This window comes from Homo sapiens, chromosome 11 (assembly GCF_000001405.40).
Source record: "Homo sapiens chromosome 11, GRCh38.p14 Primary Assembly".
Lineage (NCBI taxonomy): Eukaryota > Metazoa > Chordata > Mammalia > Primates > Hominidae > Homo > Homo sapiens.
The window spans coordinates 8,880,188-8,905,137 of record NC_000011.10 but is presented as its reverse complement, the minus strand read 5'-3'; the positions used below and the strand labels follow the sequence as shown (position 1 = coordinate 8,905,137).

The following is a 24,950-nucleotide window of genomic DNA, read 5'->3' as shown; positions in this document are numbered from 1 at the left end:
GAAATTGGGAAGTATATCAACTATGTTCTTCATTTTCAAAATTATTTTTATATTCTAGTACAGTCATTATTTCCATAAAATTTAAATTCAGTTTGTCAACTTCTGTGTAACAACTGTTGATGTTTTGATAGAGATTATATTGAATTCACAGATTAATTGAGGAAGAATTGCAATCTTAACAATATTGGGTTTTTGAATTTATGAACATGGAATGTCTGTCCATTTATTTCAGTTTTCTTTATTTTTTTTACTAATATTGTGTAGTGATTAGTGTACATATTGCACTTCTTTTAACAAATTTATTAAGTATTTTTATGCTGTTGTGAATGAAATTGTTTTCTCAATTTCATTTTCAGATGAAATTATTACTAGTGTATAGAAATATAGTTGACTTTTTCATATTGATATTGTATCCTGTAACCTTGTTAAACTCATTTACTTGTTCTAAGAATTTTTTTGTGGATTCTTTAGGATTTTCTGTATACTGGATCAGATCTTCTGTGAATAAAGAAAGGCTAACTTTTTTCTTTTCAATCAGGACTTCTTTTTCTTGCCTAATCGCACTGGCTTGAACCTGTAGTACAATGTTGAATAGAAGTGGCAAGGGGAACATCTTTGCCTTGTTCCCAATTTTAGAGGCAGAACATTCAGCCTTTTACCATTAAGTATGATATTTGTTTTTTTGTAGATACTCTTTATTAGGTTAAGGAAGTTCTCATCTATCTTTAAAAATTATTTTTAATTAGCTTCTTCAGGTTGAGAAGAAGTTTCCTTCTATTCCTGGTTTAGTGAAAGTTTTTATCATGAATGATTTTTGAAGTTTTTCAGACGTTTTTTGTATGTCCATTGATGTGATCATGTGGTTTTTATTTTTTATTCTATTAACATGTGTTGAATGAATTGATTTTTGGATATTAAGCCAATCTTTCGTTGTTGAATTTGGTTTGCTAGTATTTTACTGAGGATTTTTCTGTGTATATTCATGAGGGATATTGATCTCTAGTTTTCTTGTTTCTGGTCTTTGTGTCTTTTGGTATTAGGATAATATTGGCCTTATAGAATGATTTAGGAATGTTCTATTTCTTGGAAGAGTGTGTAGAATTGGTATTATTCTTAAGCATTTGATTAAAACCATCTGGGCCTGGGCTTTACTTTGTGGGAAGATTTTTAATTACTAATTCAACTTTTTTCCTTGTTTTAGGTCTACTTATATTTTCTATTCCTTCTTTTTTTTTTTTTTTTTTTTTTGAGACAAGGTCTCACTCCTGTTGCCAAGGCTGGAGTGCCGTGGCATAATCACAGCTCACTACAGCCTCAACTCCCTGGGCTCAGGTGATTCTCCCACCTTAGCCACTCGAGTAGCTGGGACTACAGGCATGCATCACCACTAGGCCCACCTAATTTTTTTGGTACTTTTTGTAGTAGAGATGTGGTTTTGCCATGTTGCCCAGGCTGGTCTTGAACTCCTGAACTCAAGTGATCTTCTATTCCATCTTGAGTCAGTTTCAATACTTGGTGTCTAAGAATTTGCCCAGTCACTTAAGTTGTCTAATTTGTTGACAAAAAGCTATTGGTAATATTCCCTCACAATCTTTTTTATTTCTTTAAGATCTGATTATGGTAATCTGTGCCTTCTCTCTCTTGCTTTTTTTTTTTTTTTTTTAACATCTTGGTCAGTCTAGTTAAAGTTTTGTCAACTTGTAATATCCTTTTTTTTTCTTTTGAGACAGTCTCACTCTGTCACCCAGGCTGGAATGCAGTAGTGCAATCTCAGCTCACTACAATCTCCGCCTCCCAGGTTCAAGTGATTGATTCTTCTGCCTAATCCACCCAAGTAACAGGGATTACAGGTGCATGCCACCACACCCGACTAATTTTTGTATATTTAGTAGAGACAGGGTTTCACCATGTTGGCCTATGCTGGAGTGAAACTCTGTCTCAAAAAATAAATAAATAAATAAAACTTTAAAAAATACAGATGGCCAGGTGTGGTGGCTCATGCCTGTAATCCCAGCACTTTGGGAAGCCAAGGTGGGTGGATCATGAGGTCAAGAGATCGAGACCATCCTGTCCAACATGGTGAAGCCCCATCTCTACTAAAAATACAAAAATTAGCTGGGTGTGGTGGCGCATGCCTGTAGTCTCAGCTACTCAGGAGGCTGAGGCAGGAGAATTGCTTGAACCTGGGAGGTGGAGGTTGCAGTGAGCCGAGATTGCACCACTGTGATCAAATGTAAATTCAGCCATCTCGATAATAATGTTAAATGTGAATGGTCTCAACAGCCCATTCTATAAGCAGAGATTGTCAGACTGGCTTAGATCCAACTGTCTGTCTACAAGAAACACAACTTATAGTCAAACACACAAATAAGTTGAAAGTTAAAGAAAAAGATATACCATGTAAACTATAAGCATAATATTGCTGGAGTAAAGAAACAGAATCCTGCAGATACCTTGATTGTAGTCCAGTGAAAACCATTTCAGACATCTGACTTCCAGAACCTTAAGATAATAAACTTGTGTTGCTTTAAGCGACTCCCCTTGCCAAAAAAAGATTGCTGAAGTAAATGTATTAACATCAGACAAAATAGACTTGAAGACAAGAAATATCACTAGACAAAGTGGGGCATATCAGAATCACAAAAATGACAAATCATTACATCTGGAAGATATAGCACTTGCAAATGTACATGACCCTAACAACACAGCCTCAAAATACCAAAGCAAAAACTGACAAAATTCAAGCAAGAAATAGACAATTCAACAGTGGTAGTTGGGGACTTCAACACCTCACTCTTTTTTTTTTTTTTTTGAGATGGAGTCTCACTCTGTCACCTACACTGGAGTGCAGTGGTGTGATCTCAGCTCACTGCAGCCTCTGCCTCCTGGGTTCAAGTGATTCTCCTACCTCAGCCTCCTGAGTAGCTGGGATTACAGGCGCGTGCCACCACACCCGGCTACTTTTTGTATTTTTAATAGAGACAGGGTTTCACCGTGTTGGTCAGGCTGGTCTTGAACTCCTGACCTCATGATTCGCCCACCTCAGCCTCCCAAAATGCTGGGATTACAGGCATGAGCCACCGTGCCCAGCCCAATCCTCAGTCTTAATAACTGATAGAACAAACAGAAAATCAGCAAAGATATAGAAGGCTAAACGATACTGTCAGCCACCTTGACACCTATAGGAAACTCCATCCAACAATAGCACAATACACATTCTTGTCAAATACTCCCAGAACATTCTCCAAAACAGACCATTATTAGGTCATAAAACAAGTCTCAATGAATTTAAAAGGACTGAAATCATACCAGGTATGTTCTCTACCCACAATAGAATTAAATTAGAAATCAACAATAGACAATTTGGGGAATCTACAAATATTTGCAAATTAAACAACGCATAGGTAAATAATCCATGGGTCATAGACTAAATCACAAGGGAAACTAGGAAATGTTTTGAACTGAAAGGAAACAAAGATGTGATATATCAAAATGTATGAGAGGCAGCTAAAACTGTGATTAGAGGGAAGTGCCAAGCTTTAGATGTCTATATTAGAAAAGAATATAGGTCAAATCAATAACCTAAGTTTCTACCTTAAGAAACTAGGAGCCGGGCATGCTGGCTCATGCTTGTAATCCCAGCACTTTGGGAGGCTGAGGTGGGCAGATCAGTTGAGGTCAGGAGTTCGAGACCAGCCTGGCCAACATGGTGAAACCCCGTCTCTACTAAAAATACAAAAATTAGCCAGATGTGGTGGCATGCACCTGTAATCCCAGCTACTCGGGAGGCTGAGGCAGGAGAATCACTTGAACCTGGGAGGTGGAGGTTGCAGTGAGCTGAGATTGCACCACTGCACTCCAGCCTGGGCAATAGAGCAAGACTCCATCTCAAAAAAAAAAAAAAAAAAGAAAAGAAAAGAAAAGAAAGAAAAAGAAAAACTAGGAAAAGAAGAACAAACTAAACCCAAAGGAAGCAGGAGGAAGGGTATAATGATGATTAGGTAGAAATCAATAAAATACAAAGTAGAAAAATAGAGAAAAATCAATGAAACCAACAGTTGGTTCTTTGAAAAGATATTAAAATTTGGGCCAGGTGTGGTGGCTCACGCCTGTAATTCCAGCACTTTGGGAGGCCAAGGTGGGCAGATCAGTTAAGGTCAGGAGTTCAAGACCAAGGTTTCACTCTTGTTGCCTAGGCTGGAGTGCAATGGCATGATCTCGGCTCACTGCAACCTCTGCCTCCCAGATTCAAGTGATTCTCCTGCCTCAGCTGCTCAAGTAGCTGGGGTTACAGGTGCCCACCACTATGCCTGGCTAATTTTTTTGTATTTTTAGTAGAGAGAGGGTTTCACCATATTGGCCATGCTGGTCTTGAACTCCTGACCTCAGGTGATCTACCCACCTCGGCCTCCCAAAGTGCTGGGATTACAGGCATGAGCCACCGCACCCGGCCTTTAAAAAAATTTTTTAGTGATTGTTCTAGGAATTAGAATATGCATCTTTATTTGTCACGATCTACTTCTTTCTTTTTTTTTTTTTGAGACAGGGTCTTGCTCTGCCACCCAGGCTGGACTGCAATGGCGCAAGTGTGGCTCACTGTTGCCTCCACCTCCTAGGCTCAAGTGATCCCCCCAACTCAACCTCCTGAGTAGCTGGGACCACAGGCACACGCCAACACACCTGGCTAATTTTTTTTTTTTTTTTTTTGAGATGGAGTCTCACTCTGTCGCCCAGGCTGGAGTGCAGTGGCACGACCTTGGGCACTGCAAGCTCCACCTCCCGGGTTCATGTCATTCTCCTGCCTCAGCCTCCTGAGTAGCTGGGACTACAGGCACCACCACCACACCCAGCTAATTTTTTTTTTTTTTGTATTTTTAGTAGAGACGGGGTTTCACCGTGTTAGCCAGGACAGTCTCGAACTCCTGACCTTGTGATCTACCCGCCTCGGCCTCCCAAAGTGTTGGGATTATAGGCGTGAGCCACTGTGCTGGGCCAATTTTTACATTTTTTATAGAGATGGTGTCTCATCATGTTGCCCAGGCTGGCCTCTAACTCCTGGGCTCAAACAGTCCACCCATCTCGGCCTCCTAAAGTGCTGAGATTACAGGTGTGAGCCACCATGCCTGGCCACAATCTACTGATTGATATAAACTTAATTTAGGTGAAATATAGACACTTCTGTCCAATATAACTCCATATCCCCCCTTCTCATGCTGTTATATTACATTCATATATGTTACAGATCCAACAAGACAGTGTTACAATTATTGCTTTATATGCTCTTATGGCTTTTAAAGAAGTTATGAGAAAAAGTGAGAAACATATGTATAGAGTCCTTTATATTAACCAATATATTTACTATTTCTGATGTTCTACATTCCTCTCTGTAGATTTGAGTAACTCTAAAATCACTTTCCATCAGCCTGAAAAACTTCCTTCAGTATTTCTTGTAAGGCAAGCTGGCAACAACAAATTTTTTCAGTCTTTGTTTATCAACTGTCTTTATTTCACCTTCACATTTAAAGGCTATAAGGCTATTTTTGCTGGATATAAAATTTTTAGTTGGCAGATTTTTTTTTTCCTTTAAACACTTTGATCCCTGCTTTCTTAGTCTCTGTTGTTTCTGATAAAAAGTCATCTGTTAATTTGATTGTGGTTTCTTTGTAAATGATGATCCACTTTTCTCTGCTGCTTACAAGATTTTCTCTTTGTGTTTGCCTTTCAACAGTTTAACCTTGGTGTTTCTAGGTATGGACCTCTTTGTGTTTATGGTACTTGGAGTTCTTTTGATCTTCTTGGATGTGTAGATTTGTTTTTCCTCAAATTTATAAAGTTTTCAGCCATTTTTTTCTGTCCCTTTCTCTTTCTCTTCTTTTTCTGGGACTCTCCTTATACATATGTTAGTATGTTTGGTGGTATCTCTCAAATCTCTGAGGCTTGTTCATTTTTCTTCATTCTTTTTCTTTTCTTTTCTTCAAATTGTATAATCTCTATTGATCTATCTATCTTCCAGTTTACTGATTCTTTTTCTGTAATCTGAAATTTGCTCTTGAGCCCCTCTAGTGAATTTTCATTTCAATTATTTTCTTTTCACTCCATAATTTGTTTTGTTTTATAATTTATTTTTATTGATATTCTATATTGTCACTGTTGCCATACTTTAATTTTTAAAATTTTGTTTTCTTTAGTTCTTTGAACATATTTACAACAGCTGCCTTGAAGTCTGTCTGCTAAGTCTAACATTTGGGCCCCTACAGAAAAAGTTTCCATTAACTGCACCTTTTTCTATATATGGGCCCCACTTTTTGTTTGTATGTCTTGCAATTTTTTGTTGAAAACTGAACATTTTAGATCAGAGGTCAACAATTTATTTCTATAAATGACTGGATAGAAAATATTTTAGGCTTTGTAGTCAATGTGGTCTCTATTGTAATGTGAAAGTAGCCATAGACAATATGTAAATGAATGAAAGTAGATGTCTTCCAATAAACCTTTATTTAAAAAACAAGCAGTAGGCCATAATTGGGCCATGAGTTGTAGTTTGCTGATCGCTGTTTTAAATAATGTATGATGGCAACTCCAGATTCTGATTTCCATCCCTACCTAAGGATTTTTGATATTGCTGCTGTTTGTTGGTTTATTTGTTTAGTGAGTTAACGGGGTTGATTCTGTAGTCTTTCTTTCCTGTAGTGTGTAGCTACTGACATCTTTTCTTAATTTTTTCCTTTCTAATTCTTGTTTTTATTTTATTTTACTTCATTTTATTTTATTTTTTATGAGATGGGGTCTCACTATGTTGTGCAGGCTGGACTTGAATTTCTGCGCTGAAGCAGTTGTCCCTCCTCAGCCTCTTGAGTAGCTGGGACTACAGATGTGTGCTGCTGTGCCCAATTTGGTTTTATTTTTAAATCTCTTTCCTAGGAATTGCCCCTGGGTCAACATAGCTAGTGGTCAGCTAATAACTGGGAAGAGATTGTACTTAAACATCTTGAGCCTAGTAAGGCTCTACTGTTTGCTAATTAATCTGTGTATAGTTTGGGGAACACCTTTAAAGTTCAGTCAAGGCCATGTGGCTATGGCTTATGCCTATAATCCCAGTGCTTTAGGAGGCCATGACAGGAAGACTGCATGATACCAACAGCTTGAGGCCAGCCCAGGTAACACAGCAAGGCCCTGTCTTCGCAAGAAATTTTTAAAAAATTAGCTGGGCATGGTGGTGCATGCCTGTGGTCCTAACTGTGGGAGGATTGCTGGAGCCTAGGAGTTCAAGGTTATAGTGAGCTGTAATTGTGCCACTGTGCTCCAGCCTGAGCAACCATGTGAGACCCTACCTCTAAAAAAACAAGAACAAAGAAATAGAGTTCAGTCAAGTCTGCCCCAATTTTATTTCTATGTATGCAAGGCTTCACATTCAGCCATTGAAATCTGTAGCCCACTGTGGTCTCTCCTGGGCATGTGCATAACCGTGCCCTTGTACACAGCCTTCCAGACCACCAAGGGTATCAGGTTCCACTATGGCTGTCTTTTTCCCTAGATCTGCCTATTAAATTTCTGGCTGGTCTGTTACTTTTCCCAACCAAAACTACAGTTTCAGCCAGCAATGATATTGACTTTCCCTGATCATTTACTACCAAGATCACATGTTTCTGACAATGTCCTATGCACCAAATTACATTGCAGAGCTGCTGATTTTCATGGATTTTACTGTCCTGATAGAACTACTATGTTGGAGCTGGGGGTAGGGAGTGTAGGGATTGCAAAAACTCAAAATACCATAGATTCATATTTTTCTTACCAAGGTTCAATAGTTTGATTTTTTTCCTTTATAAATGCTTTTTAATTTGTCATGTGCCTCTGGTTAGTTAGTTAGTTTGTTTGTTTGAGATGGTGTCGTGCTCTGTTGCCCAGGCTGGAGTGCAGTGGCGCAATCTCTGCTTACTGTAACCTCTGCCTCCCGGGTTCAAGTGATTCTCCTGCCTCAGCCTCCAGAGTAGCTGGGATTACAGGCATGCACCACCACACCTGGCTAGTTTTTAAAAAAAAAAATTTTTTTTGTATTTTTTGTAGAGATGGGCTTCGCCATGTTGGCCAGGCTGGTCTTGAACTGCTGACCTCAGGTGATCCACCCGCCTTGGCCTCCCAAAGTGCTGGGATTACAAGGCATGAGCCACCGAGCCCAGTCTCAGTTTTCAAAATCCTGAAATGATTGTTTTAACAGTTTTGTACAGATGTTCTTTGACCTAGGAAGGAGTTATATCCTGATAAACTCATTTTAAGTTGAAAATATTGTAAGTCAAAAATGCATTTAATACACCTATCTGAAAACATCGTATCTTAGCATAGCCTACCTTAAACATGTTCAGAACACTCACATTAGCCTAAAGTTGGGCAAAATCATCTAACACAAAGCCTATTTTATAATAAAGTGTTGAATATCTCATGTAATTTATTGAATGCTGTACTGAAAGTGAAAAACAGAATGGTTGTGTGGGTATTCAACATATGGTTTCCACTGAATGTATATTGCTTTTGCACCATCATAAAGTTGAAAAAACCGAAGTCAAATCTTTATAAGTCAGAGACTACCTGTACAGTTTTATTGCGGCTTTATGTTAAACGATTTGCCAGCCTCCTCACTATGCCATTCTGGAAGTGTTCCTTGTGTAGAGTTTTAGTGACCTAAAAAAGGTCACAGTATTTCCCGACAGATCCAGCAGTTTTCAAAAATTAATATATTCCAATTCCTGTTCCCTTCCAATTTTATATTCCTCCTAACCTTTTTTGTGATATAATTCTGGACTCTCTTAAGGCTTACTTTTATATATTCTTTTAGGATAAAGCTTATATTTATTCCTTCCATCAATATTTATTTATTTGTTCCATGGACATTTATTAAACCTCTTCTGTGCATTGATACTGGAATGTATTTCCACTCCAGGAAGCTCTAGCAAGTAGAGTAGGTAGCCAGATCTCCAGGGTTAGTATTATACCAGTTCTAGAGAAAATTTTATATCTCCTAGCTTATACTAAGTTTACCTAATTATAATTATGGGTATACTCTATTTAATAAATGTAAGTTATACTGTGATTATATTACTGTTTGCATTCAAGTATTTATATCCCTCAGTTTTGTGACTTCTTTTTCCAGTCATATACCATACCCTCCACATTTTTTTTCCAATTTCTAAAATTGTGGTAAAATACACATAAAATAGGCCGGTCATGGTGGTTCATACCTGTAATTCGAGCACCTTGGGAGCCAGAGATGGGAGGATCTCTTGAGGCCAGAAGTTCAAGACCAGCCTGGTCAACATAGCGGAACCCCCATCTCTAAAAGAATAAACCTTTCTTTAACAAAAAATAAAAATAAAAAATAAAAAAACACACAAAATAAAATATAGTTTTCTAAGCATTTTTAAGTGTATACTTCAGTGGTATTAAATATATTCAAAATGTGCAACTATCACCACCATCCATCTCTATACTTCTTTTCATCTTGTAAAACTGAAACTCTGTATTCGTTAAACAATAATTGTCTATTCTTCCCTACTCCCAGCCCCTGGAAGCCACCAATCTGTCTTCTGTCTCTATTATTTTGACTACTGTAAGTACCTCATATAAGTGGACTCATACAGTATTTTTCTTCTCGTGACTGGCTTATTTCATTTAGTATAATGTCGTAAAGTTTCATCCATGTTGTAGTATATTGCGGAATGTCCATCCATTTTTTTTAAAATTTTTTTTATACTTTAAGTTCTAGGGTACATGTGCACAACGTGCAGGTTTGTTACATATGTATACATGTGCCATGTTGGTGTGCTGCACCCATTAACTCGTCATTTACATTAGGTATATCTCCTAATGCTATCCCTCCCACCCCCCTACCCCACAACAGGCCCTGGTGTGTGATGTTCCCCTTCCTGTGTCCAAGTGTTCTCATTGTTCACTTCCCACCTATGAGTGAGAACATGCGGTGTTTGGTTTTTTGTCTTTGTGATAGTTTGCTGAGAATGATGGTTTCCAGCTTCATCCGTGTCCCTACAAAGGACATGAACTCATCCTTTTTTATGGCTGCATAGTATTCCATGGTATATATGTGCCACATTTTCTTAATCCAGTCTATCATTGATGGACATTTGGGTTGGTTCCAAGTCTTTGCTATTGTGAATAGTGCCGCAATAAACATACGTGTGCATGTGTCTTTATAGCAGCATGATTTATAATCCTTTGGGTATATACCCAGAAATGGGATCACTGGGTCAAATGGTATTTCTAGTTCTGGATCCTTGAGGAATTGCCACACTCTCTTCCACAATGTTTGAACTAGTTTACAGTCCCACCAACAGTGTAAAAGTGTTCCTATTTCTCCACATCCTCTCCAGCACCTGTTGTTTCCTGACTTTTTAATGACCGCCATTCTAATTGGTGTGAGATGGTATCTCATTGTGGTTTTGATTTGCATTTCTCTGATGGCCAGTGATGGTGAGCATTTTTTGATGTGTCTGTTGGCTGCATAAATGTCTTCTTTTGAGAAGTGTCTGTTCATATCCTTTGCCCACTTTTTGATGGGGTTGTTTGTTTTTTTCTTGTAAATTTGTTGGAGTTCATTGTAGATTCTGGATATTAGCCCTTTGTCAGATGAGTAGGTTGCAAAAATTTTCTCCCATTTTGTAGGTTGCCTGTTCACTCTGATGGTAGTTTCTTTTGCTGTGCAGAAGCTCTTTAGTTTAATTAGATCCCATTTGTCAATTTTCGCTTTTGTTGCCATTGCTTTTGGTGTTTTAGATATGAAGTCCTTGCCTATGCCTATGTCCTGAATGGTATTGCCTAAGTTTTCTTCTAGGGTTTTTATGGTTTTAGGTCGAACATTTAAGTCTTTAATCCATCTTGAATTAATTTTTGTATAAGGTGTAAGGAAGGGATCCAGTTTCAGCTTTCTACATATGGCTAGCAAGTTTTCCCAGCACCATTTATTAAATAGGGAATCCTTTCCCCATTTCTTGTTTTTGTCAGGTTCGTCAAAGATCAGATGGTTGTAGATGTCTGGTATTATTTCTGAGGGCTCTGTTCTGTTCCATTGGTCTAGATCTCTGTTTTGGTACCAGTACCATGCTGTTTTGGTTACTGTAGCCTTGTAGTATAGTTTGAAGTCAGGTAGCATGATGCCTCCAGCTTTGTTCTTTTGGCTTAGGATTGACTTGGCAATGTGGGCTCTTTTTTGGTTCCATATGAACTTTACAGTAGTTTTTTCCAATTCTGTGAAGAAAGTCGTTGGTAGCTTCATGGGGATGGCATTGAATCTATAAATTACCTTGGGTAGTATGGCCATTTTCACAATATTGATTCTTCCTATCCATGAGCATGGAATGTTCTTCCATTTGTTTGTGTCCTCTTTTGTTTCGTTGAGCAACGGTTTGTAGTTCTCCTTGAAGAGGTCCTTCACATCCCTTGTAAGTTGGATTACTAGGTATTTTATTCTCTTTGAAGCAGTTGTGAATGGGAGTTCACTCATGATTTGGCTCTCTGTTTGTCTGTTATTGGTGTATAAGAATGCTGTGATTTTTGCACATTGATTTTGTATCCTGAGACTTTGCTGAAGTTGCTTATCAGCTTAAGGAGATTTTGGGCTGAGACGATGGGGTTTTCTAAACATACAATCATGTCATCTGCAAACAGGGACAATTTGACTTCTTCTTTTCCTAATTGAATACCATTTATTTCTTTCTCCTGCCTGATTGCCCTGGCCAGAACTTTCAACACTATGTTGAATAGGAGTGGTGAGAGAGGGCATCCCTGTCTTGTGCCGGTTTTCAAAGGGAATGCTTCCAGTTTTTGCCCATTCAGTATGATATTGGCTGTGGGTTTGTCATAAGTAGCTCTTATTATTTTGAGATACGTCCCATCAATACCTAATTTATTGAGAGTTTTTAGCATGAAAGGCTGTTGAATTTTGTCAAAGGCCTTTTCTGCATCTATTGAGATAGTCATGTGGTTTTTGTCTTTGGTTCTGTTTATATGCTGGATTATGTTTATTGATTTGCGTATGTTGAACCAGCCTTGCATCCCAGGGATGAAGCCCACTTGATCATGGTGGATAAGCTTTTCGATGTGCTGCTGGATTCGGTTTGCCAGTATTTTACTGAGGATTTTTGCATTGATGTTCACTAGGGATATTGGTCTAAAATTCTCTTTTTTTGTTGTGTCTCTGCCAGGCTTTGGTATCAGAATGATGCTGGCCTCATAAAATGGGTTAGGGAGGATTCCCTCTTTTTCTATTGATTGGAATAGTTTCAGAAGGAATGGTACCAGCTCCTCCTTGTACCTCTGGTAGAATTCGACTGTGAATCCATTTGGTCCTGGACTTTTTTTGGTTGGTAAGCTATTAATTATTGCCTCAATTTCAGAGCCTGTTATTGGTCTATTCAGGGATTCAACTTCTTCCTAGTTTAGTCTTGGGAGGGTGTATGTGTCCAGAAATTTATCCATTTCTTCTAGATTTTCTAGTTTATTTGCGTAGAGGTGTTTATAGTATTCTCTGATGGTAGTTTGTATTTCTGTGGGATCGGTGGTGATATCCCCTTTATCATTTTTTATTGTGTCTATTTGATTCTTCTCTCTTGTCTTCTTTATTAGTCTTGCTAGTGGTCTATCAATTTTGTTGATCTTTTCAAAAAACCAGCTCCTGGATTCATTGATTTTTTGAAGGTTTTTTTGTGTCTCTGTCGCCTTCAGTTCTGCTCTGATCTTAGTTATTTCTTGCCTTCTGCTAGCTTTTGAATGTGTTTGCTCTTGCTTTTCTAGTTCTTTTAATTGTGATGTTAGGGTTTTAGATCAATTTTAGATCTTTCCTGCTTTCTCTTGTGGGCATTTAGTGCTATAAGTTTCCCTCTGCACACTGCTTTAAATGTGTCCCAGAGACTCTGGTATGTTGTGTCTTTGTTCTCATTGGTTTCAAAGAACATCTTTATTTCTGCCTTCATTTCATTATGTACCCAGTAGTCCTTCAGGAGCAGGTTGTTCAGTTTCCATGTAGTTGAACAGTTTTGAGTGAGTTTCTTAATCCTGAGTTGTAGTTTGATTGCTCTGTCGTCTGAGAGACAGTTTGTTACAATTTCTGTTCTTTTACATTTGCTGAGGAGTGCTTTACTTCCAACTATGTGGTCAATTTTCGAATAAGTGCGGTGTGGTGCTGAGAAGAAAGTATATTCTGTTGATTTGGGGTGGAGAGTTCTGTAGATGTCTATTAGGTCCGCTTGGTGCAGAGCTGAGTTCAATTCCTGGATATCCTTGTTAACTTTCTGTCCCGTTGATCTGTCTAATGTTGATAGTGGGGTGTTAAAGTCTCCCATTATTATTGTGTGGGAGTCTAAATTTCTTTGTAGGTCTCTAAGGACTTGTTTTATGAATCTGGGTGCTTCTGTATTGGGTGCATATATATTTAGGATAGTTAGCTCTTCTTGTTGAATTGATCCCTTTACCATTATGTAATGGCCTTCTTTGTCTCTTTTGATCTTTGTTGGTTTAAAGTATGTTTTATCAGAGACTAGGATTGCAACCCCTGCCTTTTTTTGTTCTCCATTTGCTTGGTAGATCTTCCTCCATCCCTTTATGTTGAGCCTATGTGTGTCTCTGCATGTGAGATGGGTCTCCTGAATACAGCACACTGATGGGTCTTGACTCTTTATCCAATTTACTAGTCTGTGTCTTTTAATTGGCACATTTAGCCCATTTACATTTAAAGTTAATATTGTTATGTGTGAATTTGATCCTGCCATTATGATGTTAGCTGGTTATTTTGCCTGTTAGTTGATGCAGTTTCCTCGTAGCATTGATGGTCTTTACAATTTGGCATGTTTTTGCAGTGGCTGGTACCGGTTGTTCCTTTCCATGTTTATTGCTTCCTTCAGGAGCTCTTGTAGGGCAGGCCTGGTGGTGACAAAATGTCTTAGCATTTGCTTGTCTGTAAAGAATTTTATTTCTCCTTCACTTATGAAGCTTAGTTGGCTGGATATGAAATTCTGGGTTGAAAATTCTTTTCTTTAAGAATGTTGAATATTGGCCCCCACTCTTTTCTGGCTTGTATAGTTTCTACCAAGAGATCCACTGTTAGTCTGATGGGCTTCACTTTGAGGGTAACCTGACCTTTCTTTCTGGCTGCCCTTAACATTTTTTCCTTCATTTCAACTTTGGTGAATCTGACAATTATGTGTCTTGGAGTTGCTCTTCTCGAGGAGTATCTTTGTGGTGTTCTCTGTATTTCCTGAATTTGAATGTTGGCCTGCCTTGCTAGGTTGGGGAAGTTCTCCTGGATAATATCCTGCAGAGTGTTTTCCAACTTGGTTCCATTCTCCCTGTCACTTTCAGGTACACCACTCAGATGTAGATTTGGTCTTTTCATGTAGTCTTATATTTCTTGAAGGCTTTGTTCATTTCTTTTTACTCTTTTTTCTCTAAACTTCTCTTCTCACTTCATTTCATTAATTTGATCTTCAATCACTGATACCCTTTCTTCCAGTTGACTGAATTGGCTACTGAAGCTTGTGCATTCATCACGTAGTTCTCATGCCATGGTTTTCAGCTCCATCAGGTCATTTAAGGACTTCTCTACACTGGTTATTCTAGTTAGCCATTCGTCTAATCTTTTTTCAAGGTTTTTAGCTTCTTCTCGATGGGTTCAAACTTCCTCCTTTAGCTCAGAGAAGTTTGATCATCTGAAGCCTTCTTCTCTCAACTTGTCAAAGTCATTCTCCATCCAGCTTGTTCTGTTGCTGGCGAGGAGCTTCGTTCCTTTGGAGGGGGAGATGTGCTCTGATTTTTAGAATTTTCAGCTTTTCTGCTCTGTTTTTTCCCCATCTTTGTGGTTTTATCTACCTTTGGTCTTTGATGATGGTGACGTACATATGGGGTTTTGGTGTGGATGTCCTTTCTGTTTGTTAGTTTTCCTTCTAACAGTCAGGACCCTCAGCTGCAGGTCTGTTGGAGTTTGCTGGAGGTCCACTCCAGACCCTGTTTGCCTGGGTATCAGCAGTGGAGGCTGCAGAACAGTGAATATTGCTGAACAGCAAATGTTGCTGCCTGATCGTTCCCCTGGAAGTTTTGTCTCAGAGGAGTACCCAGCCGTGTGAGGTGTCAGTCCGCCCCTACTGGGGGGTGCCTCCCAGTTAGGCTACTCGGGGGTCAGGGATCCACTTGAGGAGGCAGTCTGTCCATTGTCAGATCTCAAATTCCGTGCTTGGAGAACCACTACTCTCTTCAAAGCTGCCAGACAGGGACATTTAAGTCTGCAGAGGTTTCTGCTGCCTTTTGTTTGGCTATGCCTTGCCCCCAGAGGTGGAGTCTACAGAGGCAGGCAGGCCTCCTTGAGCTGCGGTGGACTCCACCCAGTTTGAGCTTCCTGGCCGCTTTGTTTACCTACTCAAGCCTCAGCAATGGCAGGTGCCCCTCCCTGAGCCTCGCTGCCACCTTGCAGTTTGATCTCAGACTGCTGTGCTAGCAATGAGCCAGGCTCCATGGACATGGGACCCTCCGAGCCATGTGCGGGATATAATCTCCTGTTGTGCCGTTTGCTAAGACCATTGGAAAAGTGCAGTATTAGGGTGGGAGTGACCTGATTTTCCAGGTGCTGTCTGTCACAGCTTCCCTTGGCTAGGAAAGGGAATTCCCTGACCCTTGCGTTTCCCGGGTGAGGCGATGCCTCGCCCTGCTTTGGCTCATGTTCATTGGGCTGCACCCACTGTACTGCACCCACTGTCTGACAAGCCCCATTGAGATGAACCCGGTACCTCAGTTGGAAATGCAGAAATCACCCGTCTTCTGTGTCCCTCATGCTGGGAGCTGTAGACTGGAGCTGTTCCTATTCGGCCATCTTGGAACCACCTGTCCATCCTTTTTAAGGCTGAATAATATTCTGTTGTATGCACATACCACATTTGCTTATCCATTCATCCATTGATGGACATTTTTGTTGCTTCCACATTTTAGCTATTGCAAATAATGCTGCTATGAACATGGGTTTATAAATATCTCTTTGAGACCCTGGTTTCAATTTTTTGGGTATATACCCATGGTTGAATTGCTGGAACATATGGTAATTCTATTTATAACTTTTTGCAGAATCACCATACTGTTTTCCACAATGACTATACCACTTTATATTCCCACCAAGAGTGTACAAGTGTTCCAGTTTCTCCATATCCTCACCAACATTTGTTACTTTTATTTTGCCTTTGTTTTCCTTAATGGTAGCCATCCTAATAGGTATGAGGTGGCATCTCATTGTAGCTTTGATTTGCATTTCCGTAATGATTAGTGATGTTGAGCATCTTTTCATATTGTTATTGGCTGTTTTTGTATCTTATTTTGAGAAATGTCTATTCAAGTTCTCTGCCCATTTTCGAATTATGTTGTTTTTTGTTGTCGAGTTTTAGGAGTTCTCTACATATTCTGGATGTTAATCCCTTATCAGATATATGATTTGGAAATATCTCTCATTCTGTGGGTTGCATTTTTACTCTGTTGACAGTTTCCTTTGGTGCCCCCAAATTTTTAATTTTAATGCAGTGCAATATATCAATTTTTTCTTTTGCTGCCTGTGCCTTTGTGTCATATCCCAGAAATGATTGCCAATTCAACGTTTTGAAGCTTTGGCCTTATGTTTTCTTCTAAGAATTTTATTGTTTTAGGTCTTGCATTTAAGTCTTTGATTCATTTTGAGTTAATTTTTGTATAGGCGTTAGGTAAGGGTCCAAGTTCATTCTTGCAACAATGGCCACCAGCCTCTTTCTCTGCACATCTATGATCAGAAGCAGCAATCAGCAGACAGAGCACAGATCACTGACATTTGAAGGACAAGATCCTTTTTGCCCATCCTGGCTCCAGCAAGCTGTTTCAGGAAATGTGTACAGCTGCCTGCCATGGGGGTGGTCATGGGTAGCGTCCACTACACTAAGAGCCGAAATTGACCAAAATTAACCACAATTTAGGTCCAAGCCTTTTCCTGGAAGTCACAAACCTTCAATAGACTCTAGAGTTCCAAAATAATTACATCAGACAGATGCTGCTGTGCAAATGTTGTCTAGCTGGGGAGAGACATTCCAGCAGCTTCCTACTCCACCAGAATGCTGTCTCCTTCTCCACATTTTGTGCAGAGAACATAACTGGCCTCCACACAAAGTTTATTTTTTTCTCCCCATCCCCAGTAGTAACGAAGGCTAAGATGTTCCATTTGGGAGGGAGGGGCAGATTGGGTGTATACTGGAAGTCACAGATGGTGGTTGTGGATCATGGGGAGGGACCTCAGGGTTGAGGTGGCTCAAATTGTTATCTGAGGTGCCTTGGCTAAAGGATATTATAGCAGGTAGAGAGGTATGTCACCTTTTATATTACTTTATTCCTTTGATTAGGGAAGTTTTGCTCCCCTTTGTGACCAGGCAAGACTGGGCATAAGGTATGTGGGGCAGAGGATCCTTCTAGTATGAGAAAGAAGAAAGAGAAGATGTGTGGTTAGGATTGGAGCTGAATAGAACATGTGGCTGGTGGAGAGAGAAAAGGTATGGAAGGGCTGAGTAGACTTTATGCAAGACAGATTTATTTGGTTGACAGTAGATATTATCAGTTAACACATATATTATCATCCTTTTTGCAGTTAAGTAAAGTAAAATAAGGTGAGGTAGGAGGATTATTTTAGTAAAGATAGTAGAGGGATTTTCAAATCCATTTTCTGTTATACAGTGGGGAGAGAGGGAAAATACTAGCAAATGTTTCAGGCAAATTGATTCTAAACCTGGTTCTCTGACTAACTTAATCTTTGACTACAACCAAATTGTTTAACCTGCCTAAGCATTATTGCTAGCACTTGTGAAATGAGAAGTTAGAAAAAAATGAAGATAATGCAAAATATTTTGAAAAATTATTTGCTATATAAATGTAAGAAAGCTTTATCATTCTATAATGCCAAAATATTAAGAGCTGCTGCAAAATGAAAATTTATTGTAAGATAAATCTTCACAGGCCGGGCGTGGTGGCTCACCGTGCTGTAATCCCAGCACTTTGGGAGGCCGAGGTAGATGGATCACCTGAGGTTGGGAGTTCAAAACCAGCCTGACCAACATGGAGAAACCCCATCTCTACTAAAAATACAAAATTAGCCGGGTGTGGTGGCACATGCCTGTAGTCCCAGCTACTTGGGAGGCTGAGGCAGGAGAATCGCTTGAACCCGGTAGGTGGAGGTTGCAGTGAGCCAAGATTGCACCATTGCACTCCAGCCTGGGCAACAAGAGTGAAACTCTGTCTACACCCCTGCCAAAAAAAAAGATAAATCTTCACCAAAATCATGATGAAAATTAATGGAACGGTAAGATTTAATTTACTGCAAAAATCCAACAGACATGTATTGAGTACATGTTTGTTGAGCCGTGATGTTCATGTATGTTAAAAGTGACGGACAGACCACTGATTTAATTGTCATAAATCCTACAGGTACTATCATCTAAAATTTCTCGGTGCCCTTTTCTGCTTGTTGTGTCTATGATGCTAGTTTAACTCAGTACATTTGCTTTATAAAAAGCCAGAGAAAGATGATAGTCTGTTTATCTAGGTTCTCCAAAGCATTTCCTGCCAGGCAGTTGACATGTAGCCTTGGCACAATTTCAGGAAACTGTTTGCTTCTGTTTACCCTTTCCAGATACAGCATCTCCTAAGAATTGAGGTGAGGAATCTCCTTTAACTTTTTTACATTTTAGAAGTATACTTTATTCTAACACTTTAGAATGCTCTTCATGTAAGAGCAATGAAAATCTTTGTGTCTTTAAATTAAAAAGGATATGTTTTAGTGCTTCACTAGTAGAAAAGGCAAAGCCTTAAAGCAAGTTAACCTAATAAGATGTACTCAGAAGAATATTTCTAGGCTGGGCGTGGTGGCTCACGCCTGTAATCCCAGCACTTTGGGAGGCTGAGGTGGGAGGATTGCTTGACCCCAGGAGTTTGACACCAGCCTGGACAACATGGTGAGACCTTGTCTCTACAAAAAAATTTTAAAAATTAGCCTGATGTGGACCTGTAGTCTTAGCTACATGGGAGGCTGAGGCAGGAGGATCACTTGAACCTGGGAGGTCGAGGCTGCAATGAACCATGATTGTACCACTGCACTCCAGCCTGGGTGACAGAGCTGAAACTCTGTTCTCCCCCCGAAAAAAGTTAGAAAAAAAAAGAATATTCCTTTCCTGGAATATTGTTCACATTAGTCTCTCTTTCAGAAAATTCAATGTAATTATAGCTGAACATACAAAACTTATTAATTATGGGATAGTTGTCACCATTTCCAAAATCCTTCTTTACTATGAAAAAGAACCCACCACTGAATTTCTTCAGAATGGTATGCTTTTCTTGATTCAATTATAATATTTTTCTTTTTATATAACATTTCAGAAATATTCAGTTAAGTGGCATAGACATTATATTTGAAAAATAAGTTACTCAACATTTTTATTCCTTATTGGGAGCCAATTTGTTTCTAAATGTTTTAAATACTCATTATGTAGTTAGAAATGCAGGAATGTATTATAGCTTTATTGCACTCCCAGAGTACATGTTAATTAAGTATGCATAAATATATCTTTGAGAGAATGTGGTGGCAAATGTATTAATTTAGAGATTGAAAGCTTGAGGTGTGGAAAGATATAATAACAATGCACATACTACAGTTAATTGTGAGCAAATTTATATCCTTTCTGCATATTGTTGTCACATAAACTAATCATCTCTTAATTACTTTGTCCTTCCAGAATGAATTAAAAAAGATTCTATAATTTTAGCCAGCACTAGAACTATAGGCAGCCGTGGGTGGGGAAGCAGGATAAGAAACTGTGATGAGACTGATATGCATGGCATGGGACAGGTGGCAAGAGAATAATTTAGTTTGTGATCAGGCCTAGGCCTGGGGTCAGGAACCAGATAAGCATTTCAGATTGGTAGCATATCTGTGACCCAAGATTACAACAAGGCCATGGATCAGAGCCAAATGGCCTCTGAATGGCAAGGATCATGGCAAGCAACAGGTCAGAGACAAAGCGGAGGAGGTTGTCACACAGGTACCAATGGGATTGGTAGATGGGGAAGAATGAGCAAATATCCAGAGTTGGGAGTCTCAAAGTTAAGTTCTGCCGTTAGAAAATGGCCCCTTAGTACTTCTGGACAACATAGATCTCTTCCCATCTTCCTTTCCTCTCTTTACAAGGTTTCAGACTTAGTTGGAAGACATGACTCTGGCTTTAACACACTGATATTGAAGACTTATGGGCTGAGATGAATGGCTCCCTGTTTAAGAGAATCAGAAGTCAACATAGCTTGCAGAGTAGGTCTAGAGAGTTCTGCCTTAAAGGGTGGAGTAATAAAGCCAAAGGATTCAGCAAACCAAGGGTCATCATTGGTACCATGCATGAAGAGTTATCTTCATCTTGTGAAATTGGTGACTTTGCTCCATTCTGTGACTTATCTCTGTTTTGAAACCATATTAACTCCTAGGCTGCCTGGTCCTGTAACCATCGATCACTGAATGACTGCCTTAACCCAATCCTGTAAACCTACCACAACTTAATTCTTAGAATTTCTAGCTGAATATACTAGAGGAAATAAAGAATAGGAAATCTAAATCAGATGTGGTGGCTCGTGCCTACACTCTCAGCTACTTGGGAGGCAGAGGTGGGAAGATTGCTTGAGCCCAGGAGTTTGAGGCTGCAGTGAGCTATGCTTGCACCACTGAACTCCAGCTTGGATGACAGATCCTGTCTCAAAAAAACAAAAAACAACAACAACAACAAAAAAACAAAGGAAGTCCGAAGAGGATTTTTTTTTTTTTTTCTGTTAGTAGACTAGTATTAGTATCCTTTTAGGGACTGACCCCATCCCCACCTTCACTGAATTGCCTGTCATGGAGAAAGCCCTTAATAAATGTTGGTTGAATCGTGAATTAGAGGGTCTTCAAGTGATCAAAGTAACTGAATGAAAGGAGTGAGAGAGCAACTTCTGACACAGGCATAGAGCCTGAATGCATTTTGAAGATGTGAGAGAGATGGAACTGTATCTCTATAGAGGAAAATCTAAGAAGTCAACTAAGATACAAAGAAATTACTGACCTAGCCAAGGCTATAGAACCATTGAGGGCAGTACTGGAAAGAATGGGGTGTCTTCATTTCTAGATTTCATGCTGTGCACACTAAACAAATGGTTTGTAAAGATTCAAAACATCGCTTAAGTCAGCCAAAAATGTTTTTCTATTAATCTAAAGTTTGAGTAAGTGAAATTTTGAAGACGATGGTATCTAATTGATAACTTCCTTACTCCTTAACCTGTAGATAATCTCCCTTTTTAAAGTGCTCATTACAGTAGTGATTATGTAGAGAAAAAGCTTCTGATGAAAATGTGGTATAAAATTGTATTCTTTGTTCAGCAAGTTAAAACAAGCTGGTCTGTAAGCAATTATTATCTTCATCAAATTTCCTAGCTCTAATGTTTTGGCTTCATAGGCCCAGCACGTATGCCTTCTCAAACAATTGGATGGTTTTAAAACACTTATGAGATGTTTGTGCTTATATCTTAACATAGCATCAGTTCAACAAGAAAAAGAAAAAGAAAATGTAAGATTTGGCATTAGGGCTTAGTTTGAAAAAGAAAATCAAACCAAACTAAAGAAAACAAAAAGCCCCTAATGACACTTAATCCCTGCATAGGAATGAACATTCTTCATTCAGCTTCATAATGCCCTTAGTAGCAGTGCTCTAGTTAAGAGTTCAGAAGTGTCTTTCTTTTCTTCACTCTTTAATCACTTGACATTTTTGGAAAAGAAATTTATCAGAATGCTTGTTGGCTAACCACTATTAATATTTTTATATGGGTCATATATTCTAAAGAGATCTCTTTTTGCCTTTTCTTTGGTTTTATTTGTAGTTATCCCAAATGAAAACAACAACAAAATGTGTTCTGTATTCTAAGAGCTGTTCAGGTACCCATCTGGGTGAGCAGATGATTTAAAACTGAATTAGCTTTTTGAATTCTGTGCAAGTAACTCTGTGCAAGTTACTATGAAGAATGCGCCTTTGTATAAGCTTGGGAATGTTTATTTTAAAAATAATATTTAAAAATTATTTGATTGATTGAGACAGACTCTCACTCTGTCGTCCAGGCTGGAGTGCAGTGGTGCAATCACAGCTTACTACAGTCTCAACCTTCTAGGCTCAAGAGATCCTTCCACCTCAGCCTCCCAAGTAGCTGGGATCACAGGCATGCACCACTATTCCTGGCTAATTTTTGTATTTTTTCTAGAGACAGGGCCCTGCTGTGTTGCCTAGGCTGATCTCCAACTGCTGGGCTCAAGCAGTCCACTCACCTTGGCCTCCCAAAGTGCTGGGATCACAGGCATGAACCACAGTGCCCAACCAAAAAATGATAATCTTTTAAAATTAAAAATAACCATAGATGCATTTTGAAACTTACATAATATTTTTCTAGTGGGTTAGGTTTCTGGTTACATTCTATGATTAATTAATTATTACATAGTCAAATATTTATACTGTATGTTCACCTGAAATTATTGTAATTCAACAGCTATTTATTGAGTAACAGCCATTTGCTAGAGGTTAAAGATGGAACTTATACTGATAGATAAATAACCCATGCTTTCAAGAGGCTCACAATCTGGCAGTCAGCAGATTGGCTCATGGTGAGCAATACTTATGAACAATGGTTATGGGCTATGAAGTGAGCCTTGGGTGCCAAGGGAGAGAGTAATCCATTCTCCCAAGGAGTAGGAAGAAGTCGGAGAAGGCTTTATTAAAAAGGTGACATTTGAGTTGGGCCTATCAGAGATGTTACCTTTCATAATATTTTCTGGGAAATAACAAGTTGTTTATGAGATTGGAGCATAGGATGCCAGAAGCCAGCAATGTAATGTAAAGTTTGAGGTGTCTGGAACATCTAGGTGCAGATATCCACAAGGTAGTTGGAAGTTCAGGTCTAGAAATTAAAAGAGAGAAGTCGGAGCTAGAGATAATAGTTTGGCAATATCAGCTAAATTGAATTGAAACCATGCAAGTAGATAAGATGTCCAGGATGGGCTGTGTAGAAGAGAGCCAAGAAAAAAAAATCCAATTAAAGAGTATACAGAGAAGGAGATAGTAAATGAAGGCCAGTGAAAAAGAGTGGTCATAGAGACAGGAGTTGATAGAGATATTAAGAGAATAGAGAAGTTAAGTAAGAAGCTCAAGATGCTCTAGAGAAAAGGAACAACAAGAACAAGACTGGCCGGGCATGCTGGCTCACGCCTGTAATCCCAGCGCTTTGGGAGGCTGAGGTGGGTGGATCGGTCACTTGAGGTCAGAAGTGCAAGACCAGCCTGGCCAACGTGGTGAAATCCTGTCTCTACTAAAAATACAAAAAGTAGCCAGCCAACTGTGATGGCAGGCGCTTGTTAATCCCAGCTACTCAGGAGGCTGAGGCACAAGAATCACTTGAACCCAGGAGGCAGAGGTTGCAGTGGGCCGAGATCATGCCACTACACTCCAGCCTGGGTGACAGAGTGAGACTGTCTCAAAAACAAACAAACAAAAAGAACAAGACAGAGCATTTGGAAATTAAAAAATCATAGTTGAAATTTTAAAAATTGATAGAAGAATCAGAAGAAAAAATTTACAAAATTTCCCATACAGTAGAACAAAAAGACAGTAAGATGGACAATTAGGAGATCAACCAAAGAGGTCCAACATAGAAGTCACAGGAGTTGTAGAAAGAGAAATTTGAGAAAATATATGGGATGAAATTATTAAAGGAACAGTACAGGAACATTTACTGGAACTATAGAACATGAGCCTCCAGATTAAAAAGGCCCACAAGTGCCTTAGAACGATGTTTGAAAAAGTACCCATACTAAGGCACATCACTATGAATTTTCAGGAAAATATCCTACAAGCTTCCAAAGACATAAAAATATATACATTATATTTCCCAGCTGGTAAAAAAAAATTTACCTCCTCTGCAGCCTTTCACAGAAAACCACTGGAGGAGATACTCACAAAAATGAAGGGGAAGAACAGGAAACAGGAAGACATGAGATGAAGGAAACAGGAGATTCAACATGGGTAAGGGTCGTTCTTCAAAATAAGTAGAGTAAGCATGCTTCTGAGACAGGAGATGGGGGAATGAAGATACATTTGGACATGGTAAGGGAAAGTTGAGGGAATTTACATTTCTCCTTTCTCAGTGGTGAAGGCAAGGTTACCTCCTGAGAGTGAGTAGTTGGAAGTTTTGGGAAGAGACAGGCTTGGGACAGTTGCTGTGGGGAACAAGAAGAGGATCGAAATCACTAGGAATAAAAGGATTGTTGAGCAGTATTCAGTATTAGGAGGAGGTTTGTAGTGAAGCCTGTCAGTTTTATTTATTATTTTTTAGAGACGAAGTCTTGCTACCTCTAGGAGATAACATGCGTGACCATAGCCACTGTGACCTCGAACTCCTAGCTTCAAGCTATCCTCCTGCTTCAAGGCTTGTCAATTTTAGAAATGAAGATAGTTTTTCTGTCAGGCAGCTTTAGTGCTGTTTATTGGAGATCACTTTATCTTGAGATGCTCTGAAGATGCATTTTGCAACACAAACTGAATTATTGTCAGAAAATGATTTATTTCTTCACAGTATTGAAATCTCTATTCTGGAAAGCTGAGGCTCTTAGCAATTACATATAATAAATCACATTTGGTAGTAAAAACTACACACACACACACACACACACACACACACACACACACAGTTCAAAGTGACAGCTTCCAGTGCATCTGTAACCTAGGCTTTTTGAGCTCTTAAATATTTTGGCTCTTCAAGTCTTGATTAGTTGAAAGTTGACTGATGAGTACCTAGGAGGAAGGAATTAAGAAGAGCATAGAATGCCAATTATCCTAAAAGAAAAG

The 24,950-nt window shown here is 39.1% G+C and overlaps 1 protein-coding gene across 1 annotated transcript in view; it reads left to right on the top strand.

Moving 5' to 3' along the window:
• Positions 1–24,950, top strand: part of DENND2B (DENN domain containing 2B) — a 217,600-nt gene that overhangs the window by 5,814 nt on the left and 186,836 nt on the right. Inside the window, exon 2 of the mRNA NM_005418.4 lies at positions 24,029–24,128. The gene's annotated coding sequence lies outside the window, so the exon portion shown is untranslated. The remainder of the gene's footprint in view (positions 1–24,028; positions 24,129–24,950) is intronic.